We start from the raw sequence: 14,166 nt of genomic DNA on the forward strand, positions 1-14,166 counted from the left end.
CTCAGCATTAAATAAATGGGTAACTAACAGTTAAGTGAATAAATGTGAAACTGGGCAAAACAAAAATAAAGTTTTGTAAGAGAAGGGTAACTCTGATCTATAAAACAGCAGGAAAGAATTGAGATTGACTGGGATTTGAGATATCCACAGAGAGCCTTTCATTCTGGGAAATGATATGAGGAAAAAAAGTTATCAGTATAACAATGGAGAGACTATCTACTTGATAGTAGCAGTAGGTAGATGGTGGATACACTAGGAAATGGGGACACTTACCTACATGTGGGGAGTCACAGTTATAAGAAAGTAGAAGGCCTTGAAGACAGGGAAGAAATTTATATTTGAAGTGGCAATAAACATAGGATATATAAAATATTTGACCCAGTATCTGGAACCTGTCAGAGAAAGGTTTGTGTGAAAGAAGCTAAAATATTACTCTCTCCCTTATTGAGAAACTAAAGCAGCAAGAGACCCTCTTTGTACAATCCTTGAATTGGCAGATGATTTTTTAAAACTGTGATCAGCAGGTAGGATGCCAGAAAACATAAGCTGGCAGGCTCTTTAGTCTGATGGCTAAGTCTAAAGCAATGTGCTTCTATGCCCCAGCTGTATAATACTAATAAAGATATTTAACCTACTTAAACCTCAGTTTTCTTCTGTGAAAATGGGGATAAAATAACTTACCTCATAAGGCTGTCATGAGGACGAAATAATGTCATTTAGATAAAGTGCTTGCCTCCTAGTAAACATTCAATGAAAGTTTCTATTATTTTCATGACATATTGTGCTTATTTTATTACTTTGTGTTCACAGTTTCTATTCTAAGGTAGAAAGGTTCAGCATGAGTTATGTATCCTTGTTAAATTAGTTTTCTGATTGTGGTTTTTGATTAAATGTCATGTAAGAGTCAAAGCAGAAATAAATAATCATACATGCAAGATGTTATACCACAAAAGAACCGTGGAACATAAAAGGTGAGGAGGATTTCACCCCTTGTGACACTGTTTAATTCACTTGAAAAACCATGAAACATTTAGAAAAACTTGATATTTTGTAAATTAGTGAGTTGACTCATTTGATCAAATATTCAAAAATGATAAATCAACAAATGTTATGTTTTCATTTATGACAACTGTGATTTGCACAGCAAACAATAGCATTGATAACGGCATTCTCACATGCAGACTCTGTTTAGACCTCAAAGTAGAGCCACATATGGGGCAGCATACAGATGAATTAATGCAACTATGCTCTGGGACAAGGCATTGTAAAACTGGAGGTTTGCTGGTGAGGAAGAGAAGGCTAGGACCTGAACGCGTGAGGGAAATGGAGTTGACAGAAGATACTGGCTCTAACAAAGATGATTTTTTCCAAGTCAAAGGTTCTGAAAGATGTACCTAGCTTGGCCACAGGTCAGTGCATATCAGGATAGAAAGCCCAATGGTTGTACAGAGCAGAACCCTTGAAACCAATATTTATTGTAATTAGGCACAATGCCATCTTGTTGTGGAAGAGCAATTCATTCACAGCAGATTCCCGGCCAATGGCAAAAGCTAGAGAAGAGGACTTCAGCACTTTGGAAATTAATCTAGCAGGGTCTAGATAGGGAAATAGTATGCCATCCAGGTTGATTGAGCTCTACGGCCACAGGATAAGATGGAGCTTAGTTTTTACTAAACAGGATACAATAGAAGAGAAAAATGTAAAGATTAAATATGACATGATGGAGGGCTATAATATAGTTCAGTAGAACGCCCTCACAGAATTTAAAGCACATTCTATGTCATTAGACATTCTGAATATTTGGCAGTACAATAACAAAGGACATGATATGTTAAGTAGGAATTGCTAACCTCATAATTCCTAACTGATAAACTTCCTCCCATCTCTATCAAAGTTGACTCAAAAGGTAGGGCCATGGACCTATGGTTCTACCCATAAAAAAGCTCAACATTGGGGAGCTGAAAAATGGTACAACTAAGAGAAACCAAACAGCAGCTAGAAACCTCCATTGTCTAAGACAGTATTGTCAGACCTATGCTCCATAAGGCAACAACATGTTATTCACTAAGGAGAGAATGATGGAAGCGACCATATCTACCTTCTAGTGTCCTGAGTACCGGGGATATTTTTTGGTAAACTGGCTATTTGCTGCAGCAATATATGATTGTACGTTAGCTTGAAAATGCGATGAGAGCTTCAACCGCTTCTGGCTGAACTACTGTAACTTAGGCCAAGGTAGTTCATGGAAATATTATTTTAGTTATTTTGTAATTATATATAAAGTTTTAGAAAAGAAATAATGACCAGGAAAAAAAATAGTCCTCTGTTTTTTGTTTGTTTCATTTGCAAATCAATGAATATGTTCTTAGGATGGTAAATGTGTATTAAAAATCTAAGAATTATCTTTCCCTCATTTATTTACAAACTCCTTTCGAGTAGTAATGCCGCTTTTGATTTCTTTTCCATTATTATTATGTTTCTTGCAGCATTTTTGTATATGTGAGTTATCCAAATATGTTCCTGAATAGTAGATGACTGCTCCATACTTTCTATCATTTATGGGAAGATGGGTAACTAGAATATTTCCTGAATTTAATGGTTTAACATATAACTGGAAATTAAAATAAAATGCTATTGAACTCTTGGGAGAAGCTAATAGATAAAGCTTCATGCTTCTATAACAATAAAAATAAATTTTAATGTGATCATTAGAAACTATCTTTAAAGGTCATCTATTTTCCTTAAAGGTTAAGATAATGGACTAAAAGCCAAATTTTATATGTTTTGTTTTTATTATTTTAACTTATGTTAACTTTTCTTTTAAGATCGTTGCGAGCTAAGATTGCACTTTAGTTTATGCTAAATGCTTTAGCCATTTAAATATATAGCCTTGTAAAATATAAAAGCCAAAACACCTCTGAGAAATTTATCTGGATGCCATGTTCTTTGGGCCAAAGATGTCCTTGTTAACCTATGGGAAGATCTTTCCTCTACTAACAAGAGACTCTGTTCCAGAAAACAAAATGGGCAGCTGAAAATCTTTTCCCTTGTTTTAAAGAACAAACACAGTTTGAAACTCTATTTTTTTTTAACCTGTTTTCAATAATCTCTACATTCAAAGTATAGGAGCTGAGACTGGCTTAAAGGAGGGAAAAAGGGATTATAAAAGCTCCACACAATTTGCCTTCTTCGGCACACCTACAGTTGAATGCTTTAGCTTCCTGCCAGGATGGTTAAGTTAACACTTAATTAGTATGTGTACCAAACAAAACGCGCTTCTGGGCAGCACTTTTTTTTTTTAAATTTTCCCCCCCACTGCCCCACAAATAAATAGACTGGTTTTCTGCCCAAAATATTCAAGAAAAAGACTGTGGTTGCCTGGGGCAGAGGCCAGATGCCTTGACTTCCAGCTTTCTTCCATCAAAGCCGTGCAGTTTGGAAATTAAAATCTACAGCAATAATGAAACATATTAAAATGCATGCAAAGACTTGAGGGCTTATAATATGCTAAAAACTGGCAATGCATGTTTACATCCATATATCAACTTGGATGTGCTGAAAAGATTTAAAGTGTAAAATATGCAAATATGTGTCATATTGTCACACTTGGTCTCTCTAATGGAACTCCCTTTCATCTCAAGTCGTCTTAATTTCATGAATATTACATGGCCCTCACACCTTTTACTCTTGCTGTTGCTAGGCTGAGAAGATTATGAAAATATGTTAATAGTAACTTTCATCAAATAAAAGTTGCAATATTCCAAATAAAGCATTTTTCCTTCCTCTTAAAATACAAATAGTGAAGGGTTTCATGCTATTTTGTTTCCCTGTGGGAGACTAGATAACTATAGGCCAATTAAATTAATGAGCAAAGACCATGTGAATGGCAATATTTGCACATAATCCTGGCTGGCTGCACATATATACAGGTAAATAGTTGTATTTAAAACACCCTTGAAGGATGAAAATATTCCTATTTCTGGGGTGTTCAGGATGTAAAGAAATAATTTCTAAATTATACTGACCTACACAAAAGCCCATGAATTTATATTTAATAGTGAAAAACTATAGGAAGTAAAGGGAAGAGGGGAAGTTTGAGAAAGCCACCTTCATTTATGAAGGTGAAAAAACAATGATAACATTGGGATCTCAGATAACCACAAAAAAGATAGGGATATATTTTGTCCATCTTGGACACATAGTCCTGGCCCTTTCAGAATGACAGCCTTGTTTCTGTATCCTGATAATGAACAAGGGCTCATTCTGTCTTGCCTTATTGGCTACTTTAATGAACAGTAAATGGCAAAAGCAACCAGAAGCGTTCTATTTTGTATCTAATGTGCACCAATGGGGAAAAACTGTTGTCTGTGTAGAAATAATAAGAATCTTATTATTAATTATTATTATTATTATACTTTAAGTTCTAAGGTACATGTGTACAATGTTGCAGGTTTGTTACATATGTGTACATGTGCCATGTTGGTGTGCTGCACCCATTCACTCGTTGGTTACATTAGGTATTTCTCCTAATGCTATTTCTCCCCCCTCACCCCAACCCCATGACAGGCCCTGGTGTGTGACGTTCCCCACTCTGTGTCCAAGTGTTCTCACTGTTCAATTCCCACCTATGAATGAGAACATGCGGTGTTTGGTTATACAGAGTGCCACCATGGATTCAATAACAGGAAAAAAAAGGAAGTCGGGGTTCAGTCAGAACTTTATTTTAGGGAGACACCAAACTTAATAAGCTTGGAGTAAAGATTATTGATAATCCATGGACAGGTATCCTATAAATAGGTAAAGGATGGTAAACTAAAAAAGTCACTTTCTAACGAGATCTCTGCTAGCAATTAAAATAAAGAAATTAAATGGCACTTGATAAGAGCCAGCTTTGTGGCCCAGGTAACTTTCTCTAGGCTCTGATTCCTAAAAGTATTTGCAAAGATGATGAGAGGATGGACACTCAACCAAGATTAATAACAAGGAAGGACACTCAACCAAGATTAATAACAACAAGTTGCCTACACATGCAAAGGTCATGGTGGGGAAGCTGCAGCACAGTGTGATCGGCTCCCAAGATAGGCAGGATAGAAGGAGTATTTGAAACTAAGTTTAGAAAGAAGACTGAGGGGGAGAATAAGCTATGGCTAAAGGCAAATGACAGAAGGTTGATCAATGACAAAGAGAAGATAGAACTTCATAACTGTATTTTTTTTGAATTGTTGCTGTTATTACTGCTTTTCTTTCTTTTTTGTATTATTGCCATTCCTGTAAAGCAATAATCTTCAGATTAGAATTATTAGACACAAAAGTAAAGAAGAAAATGCTGCCCTTGCTATGCAAAGCCATCGTAAGTAAGCATACAATTACTTTCATTTGCTTTTATTTTGTTTACCAGGTATTCCTTTTTGGTCTTAAGTAATATACAGTTTAAATATAAATTTTGAAAATTTCCCAATTTAAACAGAAAACAACATTCTCTCTCTTTTTTTCTCTGTTACTAAAGACAACTTCTATGTATTGTTATGCATTACTTAGATGATACTATTTAAATAATTTTATGTGCTTCATTATTATACCAAATGTTATATCATGAGTACCTCTGTATATCATTAAGAATGCTTTATAAATCTCAATTAAACTACTACATGTTTCATATTATGTTTTTTCATCAATATTAGATATTTGTTTTAAATTTTTGTCAAAAATATAGGTGAAATACAAATTAGTGTTGATACGTTTTTGCCCATACTTATCTAAAGCTATCTATAGCTAGCTTTAGATAAATTCCTTTTAAGTAAATAGTGACACTGTTCAGTGTAGTTTTTATCATAACCAGTTTTATTAAGCTTAAGGAAACATAATAAAAGGAAATTAGAGAAATGATACTATAAAATATAATATTTCCTTTTGCATAAATTATTTTTTCTTATTGGCTGAAGTGTATTGACTAAATTTTAAAAGAAGAGAACATGCATAGGAGTATCCTTACTGGTAATTAATTTATTTCAAATAAACCATTGAAAAATAGCAAAACAGACTGAAAACCAACATTGTGAATGACACCAAAACTCTTTGAAAAGGGTGTCCAGCATTTAGTTAAAAATAAATATCACCCCCAAAAGAAGAGCAAACTGAACAAGGAGTGAAAAATACAAATAACAGAAAAAGACCAACTCATACTTTAAATAATGAAAATGTCCGAAATGAATTACAAAATGACCACACTTACTATGTCTGAAGAAATAAACAGCTGGTGATACCTGCAGAACAAATGAAAGTATCTGAATACAGATTTGAAGAGAACAAAATAGAGCAATATATATATATATAAAATACAATAAAGCAAATTAAAACCTTGGTGAAATGTTTAACAGTAAAATTGACATAGCTGAAGTTAGAGTTAAAATACCTATAGAAGATAGCTAAGAAGATATTATTCGTAATAAGCACATGGAAAAACCAAACATAACATATAAGAGAGAGAATATAGCTTTAGAGAGTAGAATGAATCCAAGTAAAATAGTGGAGAAAGGACTTGATAGAGGTAACATGCTTAAAGATCATGACTGCGAATTCTTCAGACTTGATAATAAACCATTCTACAGATTCGGCCCAAAGCAAGATAATTATATAGAAATTCATACTAAGACATCACAGATAATTTTTTGAAAATGAAAATCAGAGCAAAACCAAAGTCCATCAGCAAATGAAACACAGATTTCCTTTAAAGAGTGACAGGTAGATGAGCAACTGTCTTCAAAAATGCAACAATGAATGGAGAAAAAATTTTTTGAAAATGAAAACCAGAGCAAAACCAAAGTCTGTCAGCAAATGAAACACAGGTTTCCTTTAAAGAATGACAGGTAGATGAACAACTGTCTTCAAAAATGCAACAATGAATGTGGAGAAAAAAGTGGAAGGATATCTCAAAGAACCAAAGAGAATCAATTGTGCATTTATTCTCTACATATGAAAATATCTGTAAATCTGGAAAAAGTGAAGCAAACATCATGGCATTTTAAAACAAAAGTTGAGAGAATTAATCCATAGAAATCCTTCTTTAAGGACTATTAAAATATGAATTACAGACAGAGAGAATATGAATGATAATAAAATTTCTCTGATATTTTATCTGTGATGCAAAAAGTATTGAAAGTAATACACAGGTGGACAATTTAAATAGATACTGGCTACATAAAACAATAGTAATAAAGCATAGTTAAGTTTTCAAATAGAATTATAGTGCCAGACAATAAAGAGACATAGATCTCATGTAGTTATAAAGGGTTAACAGTAATCCAGGAAGAAAATTAAAAACTTTAATTAATTTTATACTTTTGCTAGTTAAGTATATGTGTTATTTTTTTCAGACTTAGCTATAAAAAAGGAGTGCATAAATACAGGTAAAATACATAAAGATTACAAAACAACATAATAGCTGTAAGCCTACACTGCATTAAATATAAAAGCTCAATTATTCAGGCAAAAGGCAACCACAATCATGTTCAGATCAGAATAAGAAAACAAATGCTACTTACAAGAGCTATATATACAGCATAAAATAAAAAAGGTTATGTTTTAGACACTACGTGTCACACAAAATAGATTTTATAGAGATAAACACACTGGTAATAGAGATAATTATTTTATAATGATAAAAGTTTCAAATTATCAAGAAAATATAAATTTTAATATGTATGCTATTAAAATATAACCTCAAATATATAGAAAAAAGGTATCCATTGAACAAAATAGAAAATTTACAAACATTGTGAAATATATATCCTAGCAATTGATATAGCAAGTCAAAAATTGATAAGGAAATAGAATTATTCAATGGACATATATGGAATGACTCTAGCTGATGCAAAGCAGACTTCATTTACAAAAATTGATAGGATATTTTGTTGTAAAACATGCCTTAACAAATTTCAAGGGATTTATATCATATAGAATACACTTCCTGACTACTATGTAAATAAGATAGATGATAGCTAGATAGATAACAGATAGATTGATAGATAGATGTCAGATATGCACATATATTTGGAAGTTAAGAAATATTTCTCAACAAGTCCTGAGTTAGAGAAATGAAAATAAAAGTTAGAAAACTCTTTAAGCTAAATGATAATAGAAATAGAAAAAATTGTGAGTCACAGCCAATGTAGCACTAAGGTGGACATTTTTATAGCCTTGAAAAGAATATATATCTCTATTTATCTGTCTGTCTGAGAAGGATATATATGTATGTATATTTGAGAAAAAGAAAAACTAAAAATTAATGAGCTTTATAGGTTCTAAGAATCTTGAAAAACAGTACCAAAAATAAGCCCAGAGATTATGTGAAAGAGGTGAATTATAAAATAGTGGTAGTCAATTTCAAAATTAAAAAATATATATTTTATATAATAAATATACATACAATACATGCACTTAATAATGCTAGAAGTAATTTTTTTAAAAATCTGATACAGTTGATACATTTCAACCAGGATTATTGCAGGACAAAACAAAAAGGGAGAGGAGAGATTTGTGGCATAGATAAGCATGATGGGAATGTAAAAGGACATTACAATAGATTTTCCAGACATTAATAAGGGACTACATTAAATAATTATATTCCTATTTATATGAAAATAGATGAAATAGACAGATAGCTGGAAAAATATAACTTACCAAAGCAAACTAAGAAATTAAAGAAATTAAGAAATTAAAGAAGTAGTATTCTATACTGCAATCAAACAAGAAAATATTTTTGGAAAACATTCTACAACTACTCATAATTAAAAATCAAATTTGTGAGGGACGAGCCAAGATGGCCGAATAGGAACAGCTCCAGTCTACAGCTCCCAGCGTGAGCGACGCAGAAGATGGGTGATTTCTGCATTTCCATCTGAGGTACCGGGTGCATCTCACTAGGGAGCGCCAGACAGTAGGCGCAGGTCAGTGGGTGCGCGCACCGTGTGCGAGCCGAAGCAGGGTGAGGCATTGCCTCACTTGGGAAGCGCAAGGGGTCAGGGAGTTCCCTTTCCGAGTCAAAGAAAGGGGTGACGGACGGCACCTGGAAAATCGGGTCACTCCTACCTGAATACTGCGCTTTTCCGACGGGCTTAAAAAACGGCGCACCACGAGATTATATCCCACACCTGGCTCAGAGGGTCCTACACCCACGGAGTCTCGCTGATTGCTAGCACAGCAGTCTGAGATCAAACTGCAAGGCGGCAGCAAGGCTGGGGGAGGGGCGCCCGCCATTGCCCAGGCTTGATTAGGTAAACAAAGCAGCCAGGAAGCTGGAACTGGGTGGAGCCCACCACAGCTCAAGGAGGCCTGCCTGCCTCTGTAGGCTCCACCTCTGGGGGCAGGGCACAGACAAACAAAAAAGACAAACAAACAAAAAAGACAGCAGTAACCTCTGCAGACTTAAATGTCTCTGTCTGACAGCTTTGAAGAGAGCGGTGGTTCTCCCAGCACGCAGCTGGAGATCTGAGAACGGGCAGACTGCCTCCTCAAGTGGGTCCCTGACCCCTGACCCCCGAGCAGCCTAACTGGGAGGCACCCCAGCAGGGGCACACCGACACCTCACATGGCAGGGTATTCCAACAGACCTGCAGCTGAGGGTCCTGTGTGTTAGAAGGAAAACTAACAAACAGAAAGGACATCCACACCAAAAACCCATCTGTACATCACCATCATCAAAGACCAAAAGTAGATAAAACCACAAAGATGGGGAAAAAACAGAACAGAAAAACTGGAAACTCTAAAAAGCAGAGCACCTCTCCTCCTCCAAAGGAACACAGTTCCTCACCAGCAATGGAACAAAGCTGGATGGAGAATGACTTTGACGAGCTGAGAGAAGAAGGCTTCAGATGATCAAATTACTCTGAGCTATGGGAGGACATTCAAACCAAAGGCAAAGAAGTTGAAAACTTTGAAAAACATTTAGAAGAATGTATAACTAGAATAACCAATACAGAGTAGTGCTTAAAGGAGCTGATGGAGCTGAAAACCAAGGCTCAAGAACTACATGAAGAATGCAGAAGCCTCAGGAGCCGATGCAATCAACTGGAAGAAAGGGTATCAGCCATGGAAGATGAAATGAATGAAATGAAGCGAGAAGGGAAGTTTAGAGAAAAAAGAATAAAAAGAAATGAGCAAAGCCTCCAAGCAATATGGGACTATGTGAAAAGACCAAATCTACGTCTGATTGGTGTACCTGAAAGTGATGGGGAGAATGGAACCAAGTTGGAAAACACTCTGCAGGATATTATCCAGGAGAACTTCCCCAATCTAGCAAGGCAGGCCAACGTTCAGATTCAGGAAATACAGAGAACGCCACAAAGATACTCCTCGAGAAGAGCAACTCCAAGACACATAATTGTCAGATTCACCAAAGTTGAAATGAAGGAAAAAATGTTAAGGGCAGCCAGAGAGAAAGGTCAGGTTACCCTCAAAGGGAAGCCCATCAGACTAACAGCGGATCTCTCGGCAGAAACCCTACAAGCTAGAAGAGAGTGGGGGCCAATATTCAACATTCTTAAAGAAAAGAATTTTCAACCCAGAATTTCATATCCAGCCAAACTAAGCTTCATAAGCGAAGGAGAAATAAAATACTTTACAGACAAGCAAATGCTGAGAGATTTTGTCACCACCAGGCCTGCCCTAAAAGAGCTCCTGAAGGAAGCACTAAACATGGAAAGGAACAACCGGTACCAGCCGCTGCAAAATCATGCCAAAATGTAAAGACCATCGAGACTAGGAAGAAACTGCATCAACTAACGAGCAAAATAACCAGCTGACATCATAATGACAGGATCAAATTCACACATAACAATATTAACTTTAAATATAAATGGACTAAATACTCCAATTAAAAGACACAGGATGGCAAATTGGATAAAGAGTCAAGACCCATCAGTGTGCTGTATTCAGGAAACCCATCTCATGTGCAGACACACATAGGCTCAAAATAAAAGGATGGAGGAAGATCTACCAAGCAAATGGAAAACAAAAAAAGGCAGGGGTTGCAATCCTAGTCTCTAAAAAAACAGACTTTAAACCAACAAAGATCAAAAGAGACAAAGAAGGCCATTACATAATGGTAAAGGGATCAATTCAACAAGAAGAGCTAACTATCCTAAATGTATATGCACCCAATACAGGAGCACCCAGATTCATAAAGCAAGTCCTGAGTGACCTACAAAGAGACTTAGACTCCCACACATTAATAATGGGAGACTTTAACACCCCACTGTCAACATTAGACAGATCAACGAGACAGAAAGTCAACAAGAATACCCAGGAATTGAACTCAGCTCTGCACCAAGCGGACCTAATAGACATCTACAGAACTCTCCACCCCAAATCAACAGAATATACATTTTTTTCAGCACCACACCACACCGATTCCAAAATTGACCACATAGTTGGAAGTAAAGCTCTCCTCAGCAAATGTAAAAGAACAGAAATTATAACAAACTATCTCTCAGACCACAGTGCAATCAAACTAGAACTTAGGATTAAGAATCTCACTCAAAACTGCTCAACTACATGGAAACTGAACAACCTGCTTCTGAATGACTACTGGGTACATAATGAAATGAAAGCAGAAATAACGATATTCTTTGAAACCAACGAGAACAAAGACACAACATACCGGAATCTCTGGGATGCATTCAAAGCAGTGTATAGAGGGAAATTTATAGAACTAAATGCCCACAAGAGAAAGCAGGAAAGATCCAAAATTGACACCCTAACATCACAATTAAAAGAACTAGAAAAGCAAGAGCAAACACGTTCAAAAGCTAGCAGAAGGCAAGAAATAACTAAAATCAGAGCAGAACTGAAGGAAATAGAGACACAAAAAACCCTTCAAAAAATTAATGAATCCAGGAGCTGGTTTTTTGAAAGGATCAACAAAATTGATAGACTGCTAGCAAGATTAATAAAGAAAAAAAGAGAAAAGAATCAAATAGACGCAATAAAAAATGATAAAGGGGATATTACCACCGATCCCACAGAAATACAAACTACCATCAGAGAATACTACAAACACCTCTACGCAAATAAACTAGAAAATCTAGAAGAAATGGATAAATTCCTCGACACATACACTCCCCCAAGACTAAACCAGGAAGAAGTTGAATCTCTGAATAGACCAATAGCAGGATCTGAAATTGTGGCAATAATCAATAGCTTACCAACCAAAAAGAGTCCAGGACCAGACGGATTCACAGCCAATTCTACCAGAGGTACAAGGAGGAACTGGTACCATTCCTTCTGAAACTATTCCAATCAATAGAAAAAGAGGGAATCCTCCCTACCTCATTTTATGAGGCCAGCATCATTCTGATACCAAAACCGGGCAGAGACACAACCAAAAAAGAGAATTTTAGACCAATATCCTTGATGAATATTGATGCAAAAATCCTCAATAAAATACTGGCAAACTGAATCCAGCAGCACATCAAAAAGCTTATCCACCATGATCAAGTGGGCTTCATCCCTGGGATGCAAGGCAGGTTCAATATACGCAAATCAATAAATGTAATCCAGCATATAAACAGAGCCAAAGACAAAAACCACATGATTATCTCAATAGATGCAGAAAAAGCCTTTGACAAAATTCAACAACCCTTCATGCTAAAAACTCTCAATAAATTAGGTATTGATGGGATGTATTTCAAAATAATAAGAGCTATCTATGACAAACCCACAGCCAATATCATACTGAATGGACAAAAACTGGAAGCATTCCCTTTGAAAACTGGCACAAGACAGGGATGCCCTCTCTCACCACTCCTATTCAACATAGTGTTGGAAGTTCTGGCCAGGGCAATCAGGCAGGAGAAGGAAATAAAGGGTATTCAATTAGGAAAAGAGGAAGTCAAATTGTCCCTGTTTGCAGACGACATGATTGTATATCTAGAAAACCCCATTGTCTCAGCCCAAAATGTCCTTAAGCTGATAAGCAACTTCAGCAAAGTCTCAGGATACAAAATCAATGTAAAAAATCACAAGCATTCTTATACACCAACAACAGACAAACAGAGAGCCAAATCATGAGTGAACTCCCATTCACAATTGCTTCAAAGAGAATAAAATACCTAGGAATCCAACTTACAAGGGATGTAAAGGACCTCTTCAAGGAGAACTACAAACCACTGCTCAAGGAAATAAAAGAGGATACAAAGAAATGGAAGAACATTCCATGCTCATGGGTAGGAAGAATCAATATCGTGAAAATGGCCATACTGCCCAAGGTAATTTATAGATTCAATGCCATCCCCATCAAGCTACCAATGCCTTTCTTCACAGAATTGGAAAAAACTACTTTAAAGTTCATATGGAACCAAAAAAGAGTCCGCATCGCCAAGTCAATCCTAAGCCAAAAGAACAAAGCTGGAGGCGTCACACTACCTGACTTCAAACTATACTACAAGGCTACAGTAACCAAAACAGCATGGTACTGGTACCAAAACAGCATGGTACTGGTACCAAAACAGAGATATAGATCAATGGAACAGAATAGAGCCCTCAGAAATAATGCGGCATATCTACAACTATCTGATCTTTGACAAACCTGACAAAAACAAGCAATGGGGAAAGGATTCCCTATTTAATAAATGGTGCTGGGAAAACTGGCTAGCCATATGTAGAAAGCTGAAACTGGATCCCTTCCTTACATCTTATACAAAAATCAATTCAAGATGGATTAAAGACTTAAACGTTAGACCTAAAACCATAAAAACCCTAGAAGAAAACCTAGGCATTACCATTCAGGACATAGGCATGGGTAAGGACTTCATGTCTAAAACACCAAAAGCAATGGCAACAAAAGCCAAAATTGACAAATGGGATCTAATTAAACTAAAGAGCTTCTGCACAGCAAAAGAAACTACCATCAGAGTGAACAGGCAACCTACAAAATGGGAGAAAATTTTCACAACCTACTCATCTCACAAAGGGCTAATATCCAGAATCTACAATGAACTCAAACAAATTTACAAGAAAATAGCAAACAACCCCATCAAAAAGTGGGTGAAGGACATGAACAGACACTTCTCAAAAGAAGACATTTATGCAGCCAAAAAACACACGAAAAAATGCTCACCATCACTGGCCATCAGAGAAATGCACATCAAAACCACAATGAGATAGCATCAC

General features: G+C 36.0%; 1 long non-coding RNA gene across 1 annotated transcript in view, besides 1 other annotated feature; it reads right to left on the reverse strand.

Annotated features, from left to right (window-relative positions):
- Nucleotides 1-9,301, reverse strand: part of LINC01901 (long intergenic non-protein coding RNA 1901) — an 84,572-nt gene extending 75,271 nt beyond the window's left edge. Inside the window, exons 1-2 of the long non-coding RNA NR_187474.1 lie at nt 9,088-9,301; nt 6,233-6,263 (exon numbers count right to left, since the gene is read on the reverse strand). This is a non-coding gene — a long non-coding RNA (long intergenic non-protein coding RNA 1901). The remainder of the gene's footprint in view (nt 1-6,232; nt 6,264-9,087) is intronic.
- Nucleotides 9,064-9,588: an enhancer, noted in NCBI's record as "OCT4-NANOG-H3K27ac-H3K4me1 hESC enhancer chr18:37504594-37505118 (GRCh37/hg19 assembly coordinates)". NCBI's record gives its function as "activates a minimal SCP1, AML or CMV promoter by ChIP-STARR-seq in naive and primed H9 embryonic stem cells {active_cell/tissue: H9 hESC(naive and primed)}" and the evidence as "EXISTENCE:reporter gene assay evidence [ECO:0000049][PMID:30033119]".

The sequence above is a fragment of the Homo sapiens genome, chromosome 18, assembly GCF_000001405.40.
Source record: "Homo sapiens chromosome 18, GRCh38.p14 Primary Assembly".
Classification (NCBI taxonomy): Eukaryota; Metazoa; Chordata; class Mammalia; order Primates; family Hominidae; genus Homo; species Homo sapiens.